This window comes from Homo sapiens, chromosome 3 (assembly GCF_000001405.40).
Source record: "Homo sapiens chromosome 3, GRCh38.p14 Primary Assembly".
Lineage (NCBI taxonomy): Eukaryota > Metazoa > Chordata > Mammalia > Primates > Hominidae > Homo > Homo sapiens.
The window spans coordinates 51,249,622-51,266,914 of record NC_000003.12 but is presented as its reverse complement, the minus strand read 5'-3'; the positions used below and the strand labels follow the sequence as shown (position 1 = coordinate 51,266,914).

The 17,293-nt window shown below is 42.3% G+C and overlaps 1 protein-coding gene across 25 annotated transcripts in view; it reads right to left on the bottom strand.

The window, feature by feature from the left end:
* The window catches only part of DOCK3 (dedicator of cytokinesis 3), a 709,272-nt gene that overhangs the window by 117,284 nt on the left and 574,695 nt on the right, over positions 1 to 17,293 (bottom strand). For all 25 annotated transcript variants that reach the window (XM_005264914.4, NM_004947.5, XM_006713010.4 and 22 more), the window contains one exon: positions 6,589 to 6,759. In XM_005264914.4, coding sequence (XP_005264971.1) covers positions 6,589 to 6,759 — 171 coding nt within the window. The remainder of the gene's footprint in view (positions 1 to 6,588; positions 6,760 to 17,293) is intronic.

Here is a 17,293-nt window from a genome sequence, read left to right as displayed (position 1 = left end):
AAAATTTTCTCCTATTCTATAGCTTGCCTGTTCACTCTGATGATAGCTTCTTTTGCTGTGCAGAAGCTCTTTAGTTTAATCAGATTCCATTTGTCAATTTTGGCTTTTGATGCCACTGCTTTTGGTGTTTTAGTCATGAAATCTTTGCCTATGCCTATGTCCTGAATGGTATTGCCTAGATTTTCTTGTAGGGTTGTTATGGTTTTAGGTCTTATGTTTAAGTCTTTAATACATCTTGAGTTAATTTTTGTATAAGGTGTAAGGAAGGGGTCCAGTTTCAATTTTCTGCATATGGCTAGCCAGTTTGCCAACACCATTTATTAAATAGGGAATCCTTTCCCCATTGCTTCTTTTGTCAGGTTTGTCAAAGATCAGATGATTGTAGATGTGTGGTGTTATTTCTGAGGCCTCTGTTCTGTTCCATTCGTCTATATATCTGTTTTGGTACCAGTACCATACTGTTTTGGTTACTGTAGCCTTGTAGTATAGTTTGAAGTCAGGTAGTATAATGCCTCCAGCTTTGTTCCTTTGGCTTAGGATTGACTTGGCAATGCGGGCTCTTTTTTGGTTCCATATGAACTTTAAAGTAGTTTTTTCTAATTCTGTGAAGAAAGTCAGTGGTAGCTTGATGGGGATGGCATTGACTCTATAAATTACTTTGGGCAGTATGGCCATTTTCACGATATTGATTCTTCCTATCCATGAGCATGGGATGTTTTTCCATTTGTCTGTGTCCTCTCTTATTTCCTTGAGCAGTGGTTTGTAGTTCTCCTTCAAGAGTTCCTTCATATCCCTTCTAAGTTGTATTCCTAGGTATTTTATTATCTTTGTAGCAATTGTAAAGGGGCGTTCACTCATGATTTGGCTCTCTGTTTGTCTATTATTGGTGTATAGGAATGCTTTTTGTATCCTGAGACTTTGCTGAAGTTGCTTATCAGCTTAAGGAGATTTGGGGCTGAGACAATGGGGTTTTCTAAATATATAATCATGTCATCTGTAAACAGAGACAATTTCACTTCCTCTCTTCCTATTTGAATGCCCTTTATTTTTTTCTCTTGCCTGACTGCCCTGGCCAGAACTTCCAATACTATGTTGAATAGGAGTGTGAGAGAGGGCATCCTTGTCTTGTGCTGGTTTTCAAAGGGAACATTTCCAGCTTTTACCCATTCAGTATATTGGCTGTGGGTTTGTCATAAATAGCTCTTATTACTTTGAGATACGTCCCATCAATACCTAGTTTATTGAGAGTTTTTAGCATGAAGTGATGTTGAATTTTATTGAAGGCCTTTTCTGCATCTATTGAGATAATAAAGTAGTTTTTGTCATTGGTTCTGTTTATGTGATGGATTACATTTATTTTTTTGTGTAGGTTGAACCAGCCTTACATCCCAGGGATGAAGCTGACTTGATTGTGGTGGATAAGCTTTTTGATGTGCTGCTGGATTCGGTTTGCCAGTATTTTATTGAGGATTTTCGCATCAATGTTCATCAGGGATAGTGGCCTGAAATTTTCTGTTTTTGTTGTGTCCCTGCCAGGTTTGGTATCAGGATGATGCTGGATTCATAAAATGAGTTCGGGAGGAGTCCCTCTTTTTCTATTGTTTGGAATAGTTTCAGAAGGAATGGTATCACCTCTTCTTTGTACCTCTGGTAGAATTTGGCTGTGAATCCGTCTGGTCCTGGGATTTTTTTGGTTGTACGCTGCTAATTTCTACCTCAATTTCAGATCTTATTATTGGTCTATTCAGGGGTTCAACTTCTTCCTGGTTTAGTCTTGGGATGGCGCATGTGTCCAGGAATTTATAAATTTCTTCCAGAGTTTCTAGTTTATTTGCACAGAGGTGTTTATAGTATTCTCTGATGGTAGTTTCTATTTCTGTGGGATCAGTGGTGATTGCCCCTTTATCACATTTTTTGTTGTGTCTATTTGATTCTTCTCTCTTTTCTTCATTAGTCTGGCTAGCAGTCTATCTATTTTGTTAATCTTTTCAAAAAACCAGCTTCCAGATTAATTAATTTTTTCAAGGATTCTTTGTGTCTCTGTTCTGATCTAAGTTATTTATTTATTTATTTATTTATTTATTTTTTGAGACTGAGTCTCGCTCTGTCACCCAGGCTGGAGTGTGGTGGCGCGATCTTGGCTCACTGCAAGCCCCGCCTCCCAGGTTCAGGCCATTCTCCTGCCTCAGCCTCCCTAGTAGCTGGGACTACACGTAACCGCCACCATGCCCGGCTAATTTTTTGTATTTTTAGTAGAGACGGGGTTTCACCGTGTTGGCCAGGATGGTCTTGATCTCCTGACCTCATGATCTGCCCGCCTCAGCCTCCCAAAGTGCTGGGATTACAGGTGTGAGCCACCAAGCCCGGCTAGTTATTTCTTGTCTTCTGTTAGCTTTTGAATTTGTATGCTCTTGCTTCTCTAGTTCTTTTAACTGTGATGTTTGGGTGTCAATTTTAGATATTTCCCGCTTTCTCCTGTGGGCATTTAGTGCTATAAATTTCTCTCTAAACACTGCTTTAGCTGTGTCCCAGAGGTTCTGGTATGTTGTGTCTTTGTTCTCATTGGTTTCAAAGAACCTCTGCCTTAATTTCGTTATGTACCCAGTAGTCATTCAGGAGCAGGTTGTTCAGTTTCCATGTAGTTGTGTGGTTTTGAGTGAGTTTCTTAATCCTGAGTTCTAATTTGATTGTACTGTGGTCTGAGAGACTGTTATGATTTCTGTTCTTCTGCATTTGCCGAAGAGTGTTTTACTTCCAATTATGTGGTCAGTTTTAGAATATGTGCAATGTGGTGCTGAGAAGAATGTATATTCTGTTGATTTGGGGAGGAGAGTTCTGCAGATGTCTATCAGGTCTACTCGGTCCAGAGCTGATTTCAAGTTCTGAATATCCTTGTCAATTTTCTGTCTCACTGATCTAATACTGAGAGTGGGATGTTAAAGTCTCCCACTATTATTCTGTGGGAGTCTAAGTCTCTTTATTGGACTCTAAGAACTTGCTCTATGAACCTGGGTGCTCCTCTAATGGGTGCATATATATTTTGGATAATTAGCACTTCTTGTTGCATTGATCCCTTTACCATTATGTAATATCCTTGACTTTTATGATCTTTGTTGGTTTAAAGTCTGTTTTATCAGATACTAGGATTGCAACCCATGCTTTTTTTGGTTTTCCATTTGCTTGGTAAATAGTCCTCCATCCCTGTATTTTGAGCCTATGTGTGTCTTTGCATGTGAGATGGGTCTCCTGAATACAACACACTGATGGGTCTTGACTCTTTATCCAATTTGCCAGTCTGTGTCTTTTAATTGGGGCATTTAGCCCATTTACATTTAAGGTTAATATAGTTATGTGTGAATTTCATCCTGTCATTATGATGCTAGCTGGTTATTTTGCCCGTTAGTTGATGCAGTTTCTTCATAGTGTCGATGATCCTTATAATTTGGTATGTTTTTGCAGTGGCTGGTACCGGTTTTTCCTTTCCATATTTAGTGCTTCCTTCAGGAGCTCTTGTAAGGCAGGCCTGGTGGTGACAAAATCTCTCAGCATTTGCTTGTCTGTAAAAGATTTTATTTCTCCTTCACTTATGAAGCTTAGTGTGGCTGGATATGAAATTCTGGGTTGAAAATTCTTTTCTTTAAGAATGTTGAATATTGGCCCCCACTCTCTTCTGGTTTGTAGGGTTTCTGCAGAGAAATCTGCTCTTAGTCTGATGGGCTTCTCTTTGTGGGTAACCTGACCTTTCTCTCTGGCTGCCTTTAACATATTTTCCTTCATTTCAATCTTGGTGATTCTGACGATTATGTGTCTTGGGGCTGCTCTTCTCGAGGAGTATCTTTGTGGTGTTCTCTGTATTTCCTGAATTTGAATGTTGGCCTGTCTTGCTAGGTTGAGGAAGTTCTCCTGGATAATATCCTGAAGAGTGTTTTCCAACTTGGTTCCATTCTCCCTGTCACTTTCAGGTACACCAATCAAACATAGGTTTGGTCTTTTCACATAGTCCCATATTTCTTGGAGGCTTTGTTTGTTCCTTTTCATTCTTTTTTCTCTAATCTTGTCTTCACGACTTATTTCAGTAAGTTGATCTTCAATCTCTGATATCCTTTCTTCCACTTGATCAGTTTGGCTATTGATACTTCTGTATGCTTCACAAAGTTCTTGTGCTGTGTTTTTCAGCTCCATCAGGTCATTTATGTTCTTCTCTAAACTGGTTATTGTAGTTAGCAATTCCTCTAACCTTTTTTCGAGGTTCTTAGCTTCCTTGCATTGGGTTAGAACATGCTCCTTTAGCTTGGAGGAGTTTGTTATTACCCACCTTCTGAAGCCTACTTCTGTCAATTCATCAAACTCATTCTCTGTCCAGGTTTGTTACCTTGCTGGCTAGGAGTTGTGATCCTCTGGAGGAGAAGAGGCGTTCTGGTTTTTTGGAATTTTCAGCCTTTTTGCACTGGTTTTTCTTTGTCTTCCTGGATTTATCTACCTTTGGTGTTTGATGTTGTTGACCTTCGGATAGGGTTTCTGTGTGGATGTCCTTTTTGTTGATGTTGATGCTATTCCTTTCTGTTTGTTAGTTTTTCTTCTAACAGTCAGGCCCCTCTGTTAGAGGTCTGCTGGGGTTTGCTGGAGGTCCACTTCAGACCCTGTTTGCCTGGGTATCACCAGCAGAGGCTGCAGAACAGCAAAGATTGCTGCCTATTCCTTCCTCTGGAAGCTTCGTCCCAGAGGGGCACCCACCAGATGCCAGCCAGAGCTCTCCCGTATGAGGCGTCTGTCATCCCCTACTGGGAGATGTCTCCCAGTCAGGAGGCACGGGGGTAAGGGATCCACTTAAGGAGACAGTCTGTCCCTTAGCAGAGCTCGAGCACTGTGCTGGGAGATCTCCCATTCCCTTCAGAGCCGGCAGGCAGGAACATTTAAGTCTGCTGAAGCTGTGCCCACAGCTGCCCCTTCCCCGAGGTGTTCTATCCCAGGGAGATGGGAGTTGGATCTAGAAGCCCCTGACTGGGCCTGCTGTCTTTCTTTCAGAGATGCCCTGCCCACAGAGGAGGAATCTAGAGAGGCAGTCTGGCTACAGTGGCTTGGCAGCACTGTGGTGGGCTCTGCCTTGTCCAAAGTTCCTGTCAGCTTTTTTTTACACTGTGAGGGGAAAACTGCCTACTCAAGCCTCTGTAATGGTGGATGCTCCTCCCCTGACCAAGCTTGAGTGTCCCAGATCGACATCAGACTGCTGTGCTGGCAGTGAGAATTTCAAGCCAGTGGATCTTAACTTGCTGGGCTCCGTGGGGGTGGGATTCACTGAACTAGACCGCTTGTCTCCCTGGCTTCAGCCCCCTTTCCAGGGGAGTGAACGGTTCTGTCTCGCTGACATTCCAGGCTCCACTGGGGTATGAGAAAAACTCCTGCAGCTAGCTCAGTGTCTGCCCAAACAGTGGCCCAGTTTTCTGTTTGAAACCCAGGGCCCTGGTGGTGTAGGCACCTGAGGGAATCTCCTGGTCTGCAGGTTGCAAAGACCATGGGAAAAGCGTAGTATCTGGGCCGGAATGCACTGTTCCTCAAGGCAGTCTCTCCCAGCTTCCCTTGGGTAGGGGAGGGAGTTCCCCAACCCCTTGTACTTCCAAGGTGAGGCGACGCCCCACCCTCCTTCTGCTTGCCCTCCATGGGTGCACCCACTGTCTAGCCAGTCCCAATGAGATGAGCCGGGTACCTCAGTTGGAAATGCAGAAATCACCTGCCTTTTGTGTTGATCTCGCTGGGAGCTGCAGTCCGGAGCTGTTCCTATTTGGCCATCTTGCCAGCCCTCTGATCCTAATTTAATCTTAATTCTTAGCCAAAGATTCCTAGTTACTCCTACTGTTTTTCAAATTATTTCATTCAACTTCTGGAATGGATAAAAGCTAATCTAAATTTTCTTTTTTTTTCTTTTTCTTTTTGGAGACAGAGTCTCAGTCTGTTGCCCAGGCTGGAGTGCAGTGGTGCGATCTTGGCTCACTGCAACCTCTGCCTCCCGGGTTCAAGCAATTCTCCTGCCTCAGCCTCCTGAGTAGCTGGGACTACAGGTGCATGCTAGCACACCCAGCTAATTTTTTTGTATTTTTAGTAGAGATGGGGTTTCATCATGTTGCCCAGGCTGGTCTTGAACTCCTGAGCTCAAGCAATCCGCCCACCTTGGCCTCCCAAAGTGCTAGGATTACAGGTGTGAGCCACTGTGCTCAATTTTCATTAATACAATGATTAATCTGGAAATAAAATTCCCCATACATTCTCAATATCTCCTATGAATAAGGTGTTCATAAAAAACTAAGTAGTATGGTAGCTAAATAAACTTGGTCTAAAGACTGTTCACAGAACAAATTTGTGCTTCTTCTCCAACATAAAGCCACTGAGCTGTTTTACATCTGGCAGCTGAGGCACAGCCAGATTTGCAGTAAAAGCAGCATTTTGTTGTATCAGGTATTTCCTTGTAAATAATCCCTTACCCAACACACATGATCCTGGCAGGGCTTCTTCATCTCTGAAAACCAGAGGACAAAGAAACCACCCACTGAGAAAGAGGAACCCAGCATCAAAGCTTCCCTGCAGTGTGCGAACCTGAGTAAAAAGGAGTGTTTCTGAGTTTCGGCTGTCCAGACTGAGCACAAACCGGATGGACTGGAAAAGTTCTTGGATACTGGATCTGAATTGTTCCTCTTCCATTCCACAAGTGGCTCGTGAGTACAGGATCCGTGACTGTACAATGAACTTGAAAAGGTACTCCAAGGCCTGAAAAGTGTGGGAGAAAAAGTGATGGAGAGATGTTGAAGATGCTCAGGAACTCACATAGCAGGAAACAAGGGGCAAAGTAACAGCAGTTTCTATACCAAAATCAGGTGTTGGGCAATTCTAACTATGGAGATAGATAGGTACTTTATTTTTAAAAATTTTTTCTCAAATATCCAAATTGTCACTAAGCAGCAGCTACCTTCTTACTGAAAGAATCATCAAATAATTTCACAACTGTTTTCTGAGGTTCTGGAATTAAGGAGCCATAGACTGTTATAGAAATAGTTGAATTCAAGACCACTCAGAGTTTAAAAAATAAGTTTCTCTGTATTTTTTTTCAGGTCTGGAAATAAAAGGGTCACAAGGCAAGGATGTAAGAAAGACTCAAGTTTACTGCAAGAAGGAAGTGTCCTAAAGGACTGAGGAATCCTCAGACTTAGGAGTCTCCTACATCTTTAAGATATAGCTGGGGCCTGACACAGTTCCTCCTTTTTCACCAGGGGTCACAGAAATCTGAAGAAAACCTGTCCCAGGCTGCACAGCAGCTGATAGGCCTGATACATCCAGTATCCACCCTCTTCCCACCAAGACATCTGCTATAAGCAGTTCATAAATGGTACAAGATGAAGCTTCTGCAAAAATGTTTGGGAGCAGAATCTGATTCTGAGGAGTTCCTGACGCTTGGCCCATGCTTACAGAGTAATTTTCTTTTAAGAGAACAAATTCAAGACCCAATACTATGTTTTCTAATAAAAAAAAAATGCCACAGATTTCCCAGACACTGAAAAGCCAGAAATAATGGAGAGAAACTTATGCAAGGCTGAAACAAACAGAAGTCAGGTACTTGAAATATAAAACAGGAAACAATTCCCAAACTACCTTTCATGATCTATCCAGCTGTTAGATGGTTTGGAAAAGCAGAACTTAATATTTTGTGGCCCATACAAAATTCAGTTGGCACTGGGGAATGCCAGTTTAGAAAAATGTGTCTTACAGGGCTTGTACCAGATGATTCTGTAGAAGGATTTAGTGTGCGGCCTCATCTCCATAAATGCTACACCCTCTGTTCTAGTAGCTTTTTAATGCCTAGTCTATAAAGAACTTGAAATATCTGTTAGTTTCTAAACCCAGACACTTGCAGGCTGGACTCTGCCACTGCTCTAGTATGTCTATATTGTGGTGACTCTTCAGGCCCATGAAGCAGAAAGTATACACTTCTGAGCTAGCTTCATTTATTAGCTTATGCCAGTTTGAAGTCACTGAAGTAGGAGGTATTTTCTATCGGAACAAAGAAAATAAATGTTTGCATTTTCCAAACTAAATGGCTAGGTAGCAGGTCTGACCTTCCCCTTTAGGTATTTTGGTTTTGTATGATTAAGATGATGGCTTGCTGGGCTCAGCAGAGGACAAAAGAGGGACAAGGTCAGAACTGACACCCTGGAATCCTTATAGGTAGGGACTAGAATCCCTATAGGTAAAGGATAGAACAGAACTTCTTGGAGCAGCCTAAAAAGCCAGGATGTACTCGGGAGGCTGAGGCACGAGAATGGCGTGAACCCAGGAGGTGGAGCTTGCAGTGAGCCGAGATCACGCCACCGCACTCCAGCCTGGTGAACTGAGCAAGACTCCGTCTCCAAAAAAAAAGAAAGCCAGGATGGTTTCCTCAGTTAGGTCACACAGAAAATGAAAAGAATTAAGACCTGGAAAGATTCACCAAAAATGTATTATGCATAGAAGTAGAAAATGAACTTGTTGAGCATCTTACTGTCATATGCCCAAGCCCCGGAAGATGCAGGAAGGATCGGCAATTACGTGGAGCACTGGAAGTAAAGACAGGAAAATAAATGAGTTTTTTTTGAGAAGTGGAATTTTAGGTCTCCTGAGAGGTAGGCAAATCTAATTATGTGCTCCATACTACTCCTCTAATTTTAAAAAGTTTTTTTGTTTGGTTTTTAAGTTTGAAACAGTTATCACAAGAGATGTAATGAGTGGCATGAAACATTCACCAGTTTCAGGGAGGCAGAACCAGACAGCGAAGTGACTTGCACCTTTTGGGCATGAGAGCTTGCTTCCTCTATTAGGTTACACAATATAAGACAACTAGCAGAGGAGCACAAGGCTGATGTCAGAGAAGTCTCCATGAAAACCTGGATGAGGACATGGAACATAAACCCACTTCCAGTCATCTCTGAGTACCTGACTTCCCTCTTCCCCATTCCTCTTGAAGTTTTGGATCAGCACCATCTTGGTCAGGACCAGGTGATGCTGGCCACCTCTGACAGATTCAACTGGGGAAGGAGAGCGGGGCAGAGGAGTGGAATAGAAGGTGAGAGGTGGAGCCTGTGGAATTTGTTCAAGGTTTAAAGGTGCTCCTAATACTGTGTAGAGACAATGGAGCACTTAACTGTGGCTGAAGCAGCTGCCCTGTCCATTTTTGTTTAAGTTAATAAACCTGTAAGAAAAAGAGATCCTAAAAGTTATTACCATGTTTGTATCACCAAGAAGATCCACCGTGCCCTCTCTTTCCTCCTTGTGGCTACCTGCTAAGGAACTGATACAGCTCAGCAGTGAAGTGTGCTATTGTTTTGGAATGCCTTGTGAAGAGCCACCCTAAAACCCACAATGACACCCCCTACATGCCTCTCACATTGTGAACAAACAATATAACCAAGTAAGAAATAATAAACTTTTTATTTTCACCTTCTTCAATAGAACTTTTCTTAAGGTCATGCTTCTGAAGGTAAAAGGAGATAAGGTTATGAGTGGAAAGATATATTGAATCAAAAGTATTAAGGAAGAAGTTTCCTGGTTCATAGCTTTTGATACTGGAATGAGAAGTATCAGGCCAGGAGCATGCATCCTATGAAGAAGAAGGAAAACAGGATTAGATGGAAACTTACTAATCTGGTGAAGGAGACTTATAAGCTGAAATCTGACGAAGAGGAGGAAATGACCTGATAAAACCTTAGTGTTGGACGTATTACAGAACAAGTGTGAAGTGGTGAGAACAAATATGAAAACACCTCAGAAAAATGCTCCCCCAAAGGGAATTCTTCCTTCTCCCTACCCAAACCTTATCTTTCCCAGAATTCTGTACCTCCATAAATGGCCTTGCCATCAACTCAGCTGATCTAGCAAGACCCCTTGGAAACAGCCACAGTTCTCCCTTATTATCATCTTCTACATCCGGTCTAGCATTTGAAAGCCCTTGCTTTAGTCACATCAGTTGCCTTTTGGTTCCTTAAAAGCCCAAGCTCTTGGGGATGGGTGCAATGGCTCATGCCTGTAATTCCAGCACTTTGGAAGGTGGAGGTGGGTGGATCACCTGAGGTCAGGAGTCTGAGACCAGCCTGACCAACAGGGTGAAACCCCGTCTCTACTAAAAACACAAAAAATTAGCCAGCTGTGGTGGCATAAGCCTATAATCCCAGCTACTTGGGAGGCTGAGACAGGAGAATCGCTTGAACACGGGAGGTGGAGGCTGCAGTGAGCCAAGATTGTGCCTCTGCAGTCCAGCCTGCACAACAAGAGTGAGACTCCATCTAAAAAAAAAAAAAAAAAACAAAAACGAAAACTCAAGCTCTTCGCTGGGTGCGATGGCTCACACCTGTAATCCCAGAACTTTGGGATGCCAAGGCAGCCGGATCACCTGAGGTCAGGAGTTTGAGACCAGCCTGGCCAATATGGTGAAACCCCATCTCCACAAATAATACAAAAATTAGCTGGGCATGGTGGCATGCGCCTGTAATCCCAGCTACTCAGGAGACTAAGGCAGGAGAATCACTTAAACCCAGGAGGCAGAGGTTGCACTGAGCAGATATCAGGCCACTGCACTCCAGCCTGGGCAACAGAGTAAGTGAGACTGTGTCTCAAAAAACAAAACAAGGAGGAGGTTCCAAGATGGCTGAATAGGAACAGCTCCAGTCTACAGCTCCCAGCGTGAGCGATGCAGAAGACAGGTGATTTCTGCATTTCCAGCTGAGCCTCCGCTGGTGATAACCAGGCAAACAGGGTCTGGAGTGGACCTCCGGCAAACTCCAACAGACCTGCAGCTGAGGGTCCTGACTGTTAGAAGGAAAACTAACAAACAGAAAGGACATCCACACCAAAAACCCATCTGTATGTCACCATCATCAAAGACCAAAGGTAGATAAAACCACAAAGATGGGGAGAAACCAAAGCAGAAAAGCTGAAAATTCTAAAAATCAGAGGGCCTCTTCTCCTCCAAAGGAACACAGCTCCTCGCCAGCAACAGAACAAAGATGGATGGAGAATGACTTTGACGAGTTGAGTGAAGAAGGCTTCAGACTATCGGTAATAACAAACTTCTCCGAGCTAAAGGAGGATGTTCGAACCCATTGCAAAGAAGCTAAAAACCTTGAAAAAAGATTAGACAAATGGCTAACTAGAAAACACAGCATAGAGAAGACCTTAAATGACTTGATGGAGCTGAAAACCATGGCATGAGAACTATGTGATGCATGCACAAGCTTCAGTAGCCGATTCGATCAACTGGAAGAAAGGGTATCAGTGATTGAAGATCAAATGAATGAAATGAAGTGAGAAGTTTAGAGAAAAAAGAGTAAAAAGAAATGAACAAAGCCTCCAAGAAATATGAGACTATGTGAAAAGACCAAACCTACATTTGATTGGTGTACCTGAAAGTGACGGGGAGAATGGAACCAAGTTGGAAAACACTCTTTAGGATATTATCCAGGAGAACTTCCCCAACCTAGCAAGGCAGGCCAACATTCAAATTCAGGAAACACAGAGAACACCATAAAGATACTCCTCGAGTAAAGCAACTCCAAGACACATAACTGTCAGATTCACCAAAGGTGAAATGAAGGAAACACTGTTCAGGGCAGCCAGAGAGAAAGACTGGGTTACCTACAAAGGGAAGCCCATCAGACTAACAGGGGATCTCTCAGCAGAAACTCTACAAGCCAGAAGAGAGTGGGGGCCAATATTCAACATTCTTAAAGAAAAGAATTTTCAAACCAGAATTTCATATCCAGCCAAACTAAGTTTCATAAGTGAAAGAGAAATAAAATCCTTTACAGACAAGCAAATGCTGAGAGATTTTGTCACCACCAGGCCTGCCTTACAAGAGCTCCTGAAGGAAGCACTAAACATAGAAAGGAACAACTGGTACCAGCCACCACAAAAACATGCCAATTGTAAAGACCATAGATGCTAGGAAGAAACTGCATCAATTAACGAGCAAAATAACCAGCTAACATCATAATGACAGGATCAAATTCACATATAACTATATTAACCTTAAATGTAAATGGGCTAAATGCTCCAATTAAAAGACACAAACTGGCAAATTGGATAAAGAGTCAAGACCCATCAGTGTGCTGTATTAAGGAGAACCATCTCACATGCAGAGACACACATAGGCTCAAAATAAAGGGATGGAGGAAGATCTACCAAGCAAATGGAAAACAAAAAAAAGCAGGGGTTGCAATCCTAGTCTCTGATAAAACAGACTTTAAACCAACAAAGATCAAAAGAGATAAAGAAGGCCATTACATAATGGTAAAGGGATCAATTCAATGAGAAGAGCTAACTATCCTAAATATATATGCACCCAATGCAGGAGCACCCAGATTCATAAAGCAAGTCCTTAGAGACCTACAAAGAGACTTAGACTCCCACACAATAACAATGGGAGACTTTAACACCCCACTGTCAACATTAGACAGATCAACGAGACATAAAGTTAACAAGGATATCCAGGAACTGAACTCAGCTCTGCACCAAGTGGACCTAATAGACATTTATAGAACTCTCCACCCCAAATCAAAAGAATATACATTCTTCTCAGCACCACATTGCACTTATTCCAAAATTGACCACATAGTTGGAAGTAAAGCACTCCTCAGCAAATGTAAAAGAACAGAAATTTTAACAAACTGTCTCTCAGACCACAGTGCAATCAAACTAGAACTCACGACTAAGAAAGTCACTCAAAACTGCTCAACTACATGGAAACTGAACAACCTACTCCTGAATGACTACTGGGTACATAACAAAATGAAGGCAGAAATAAAGATGTTCTTCGAAACCAATGAGAACAAAGATACAACAGAACAGAACCTCTGAGACACATTTAAAGCAGTGTGCAGAGGGAAATTTATAGCACCAAATGCCCACAGGAGAAAACAGGAAAGATCTAAAATTGACACCCGAACATCACAATTAAAAGAACTAGAGAAGCAAGAGCAAACACTTGCTTCTCTAAAAAAGCTAGCAGAAGGCAAGAAATAACTAAGAGCAGAACTGAAGGAGATAGAGACACAAAAAACCCTTCAAAAAATCAATGAATCCAGGAGCTGGTTTTTTGAAAAGATCAACAAAATTGATGGACCACTAGCAAGACTAATAAAGAAGAAAAGAGAGAAGAATCAAATAGATGCAATAAAAAATGACAAAGGTGATATCGCCATCGATCCCACGAACTACAGACTACCATCAGAGAATACCAGAAGCACCTCTACGCAAATAAACTAGAAAATCTAGAAGAAATGGATAAATTCCTGGACACACACAACCCCCCAAGACTAAACCAGGAAGAAGTTGAATCCCTGAATAGACCAATAATAGGCTCTGTAAATGAGGTAGTATTTAATAGCCTACCAACCAAAAAAAGTCCAGGACTAGACGTATTCACAGCCGAATTCTACCAGAGGTATAAAGAGGAGCTGGTACCACTCCTTCTGAAACTATTCCAATCAATAGAAAAAGAGGGAATCCTCCCTAACTCGTTTTATGAGACCAGCATCATCCTGATACCAAAGCCTGGCAGAGACACAACAAAAAAAAGAGAATTTTAGACCAATATCCCTGATGAACATTGATGCGAAAATCCTCAGTAAAATACTAGCAAACTGAATCCAGTAGCACATCAAAAAGCTTATCTGCCAAGATCAAGTGGGCTTCATCCTTTGATGCAAGGCTGGTTCAACATATGCAAACCAATAAACATAATCCATTATATAAACAGAACCAAAGACAAAAAACCACATGATTATCTCAATAGATGCAGAAAAGTCCTTTGACAAAATTCAACAGCCCTTCACGCTAAAAACTCTCAACAAACTAGGTATTGATGGGACGTATCTCAAAATAATACGAGCTACTTATGACAAACCCACAGCCAATATCATACTGAATGGGCAAAACCCAGAAGCATTCCCTTTGAAAACTGGCACAAGACAGGGATGCCCTCTCTCACCACTCCTATTCAACATAGTGTTGAAAGTTCTGGCCAGGGCAGTCAGGCAAGAGAAAGAAATAAAGGGTATTGAATTAGGAAAAGAGGAAGTCAAATTGTCCCTGTTTGCAGACGACATGATTGTATATTTGGAAAACCCCACTGTCTCAGCCCAAAATCTACTTAAGCTGATAAGCAACTTCAGCAAAGTCTCAGGATACAAAATCAATGTGCAAAAATCACAAGCATTCCTATACACCAATAACAGACAAACAGAGAGCCAAATCAGGAATGAACTCCCATTCACAACTGCTTCAAAGAGAATAAAATACTTAGGAATCCAACTAGCAAGGGATGCGAAGGACCTCTTCAAGGAGAACTACAAACCACTGCTCAACAAAATAAAAGAGGACACAAATAAATGGAAGAACATTCCATGCTCATGGATAGGAAGAATCAATACTGTGAAAATGGCCATACTGCCCAAGGTAATTTATAGATTCAATGCCATCCCCATAAAGCCACCAATGACTTTGTTCACAGAATTGGAAAAAACTACTTTAAAGTTCATATGGAACCAAGAAAGAGCCTGCATTGCCAAGACAATTCTAAGCCAAAAGAACAAAGCTGGAGGCATCACGCTACCTGACTTCAAACTATACTACAAGGCTACAGTAACCAAAACAGCATGGTACTGGTACCAAAACAGAGATACAGACCAATGGAACAGAATAGAGCCCTGAGAAATAATACCACACATCTACAACCATCTGATCTTTGACAAACCTGACAAAAACAAGAAATGGGGAAAGGATTCCCTATTTAATAAATGGTGCTGGGAAAACTGGCTAGCCATATGTAGAAAGCTGAAACTGGATCCCTTCCTTACACCTTATACAAAAATTAATTCATGATGGATTAAAGACTTAAATGTTAGACCTAAAACCATAAAAACCCTAGAAGAAAACCTAGGCAATACCATTCAGGACATAGACATGGGCAAGCACTTCATGTCTAAAACACCAAAAGTAATGGCAACAAAAGCCAAAATTGACCAATGGGATCTAATTAAACTGAAGAGCTTCTGCACAGCAAAAGAAGCTATCATCACAGTGAACAGGCAAGCTATAGAATAGGAGAAAATTTTTGCCATCTATCCATCTGACAAACGGCTAATATCCAAAATCTACAAAGAACTTAAACAAATTTACAAGAAAAAACCATCAAAAAGTGGGCGAAGGATATGAACAGACACTTCTCAAAAGAAGACATTTATGCAGCCAACCAACATATGAAAAAAAGCTCATCATCACGGGTCATTAGAGAAATGCAAATCAAAACCACAATGAGATACCATCTCACACTAGTTGGAATGGCGATCATTAAAAAGTCAGGAAACAACAGGTGCTGGAGAGGATGTGGAGAAATAGGAACGCTTTTACACTGTTGGTGGAAGTGTAAATTAGTCCAACCATTGTGGAAAAGACAGTGTGGTGATTCCTCAAGGATCTAGAACTAGAAATACCATTTGCCCAAGCCATCCCATTACTGGGTATATACCCAAAGGATTATAAATCATGCTGCTATAAAGACACATGCACATGTATGTTTACTGCGGCACTATTCACAATAGCAAAGACTTGGAACCAACCCAAATGTCCATCAATGATAGACTGGATTAAGAAAATGTGGCACATATACACCATGGAATACTATGCAGCCATAAAAAGGATGAGTTCATGTCCTTTGTAGGGATATGGATGAAGCTGGAATCCATCATTCTGAGCAAACTATCGCAAGGACAGAAAACCAAACACCACATGTTCTCACTCATAGGTGAGAACTGAACAATGAGAACACTTGGACACAGGGTGGGGAACATCACACACTGGAGCCTGTTGTGGGGTTGGGGGATGGGGGAGGGATAGCATTAGGAGATACACCTAATGTAAATGACGAGTTAATGGGAGCAGCACATCAACATGGCATATAGATACATATGTAACAAACCTGCACGTTGTGCACATGTATCCTAGAACTTTAAGTATAATAACAATAATAAAAAAACAAAAACAAAAGCAAAAACAAAACCCAAGCCCTTTCCCATCTAGGCTTTTAAATATTCTGTTTCCTCAGTCTGGAGTGCTCACTCCCTAACTGTTAACACTGACTTCAGCTCAGAGATCACCTCCTCAGAGAAGCTTTCCCAAATCCTTGATCTGAAGTAAACCCTCCTTTCCAGCCAGTCTGTTCCATAATCTTGTTTATTTCCTTCATAGTACTCATCGAGTTTGTTTGTTTGTTTGTTTTCTCTTGAGATGGAGTTTTGCTCTGTCACCCAGGCTGGAGTGCAGCGGCACAATCTTGGTTCACTGCAACCTCCGCCTCCCAGGTTCAAGCAATTCTTGAGCCACAGCCTCGTGAGTAGTTGGGATTACAGGTGCATGCCACCATGCCCGGTTAATTTATGTATTTTCAGTAGAGATGGGGTTTCATCATGTTGGCCAGGCTGGTCTTGAACTCCTGACCTCAGGTGATCCGCCCGCCTTGGCCTCCCCAAGTGCTAGGATTATAGGCGTGAGCTGCCACGGCCAGCCAAGTTTTGTTTTGTTTTGTTTTGTTTTTTATTTTTTATTATTTTTTTTAATTTTTTTTTTTTTTTTTATTGATCATTCTTGGGTGTTTCTCACAGAGGGGGATTTGGCAGGGTCATAGGACAATAGTGGAGGGAAGGTCAGCAGATAAACAAGTGAACAAAGGTCTCTGGTTTTCCTAGGCAGAGGACCCTGCGGCCTTCCGCAGCATTTGTGTCCCTGGGTACTTGAGATTAGGGAGTGGTGATGACTCTTAATGAGCATGCTGCCTTCAAGCATCTGTTTAACAAAGCACATCTTGCACCGCCCTTAATCCATTTAACTCTGAGTGGACACAGCACGTTTCAGAGAGCACAGGGTTGGGGGTAAGGTCACAGATCAACAGGATCCCAAGGCAGAAGAATTTTTCTTAGTACAGAACAAAATGAAAAGTCTCCCATGTCTACTTCTTTCTACACAGACACGGCAACCATCCGATTTCTCAATCTTTTCCCCACCTTTCCCCCCTTTCTATTCCACAAAGCCGCCATTGTCATCCTGGCCCGTTCTCAATGAGCTGTTGGGCACACCTCCCAGACGGGGTGGTGGCCGGGCAGAGGGGCTCCTCACTTTCCAGTAGGGGCGGCCGGGCAGAGGCGCCCCTCACCTCCCGGACGGGGCGGCTGGCCGGGTGGGGGGCTGACCCCCCCCCACCTCCCTCCCGGACGGGACGGCTGGC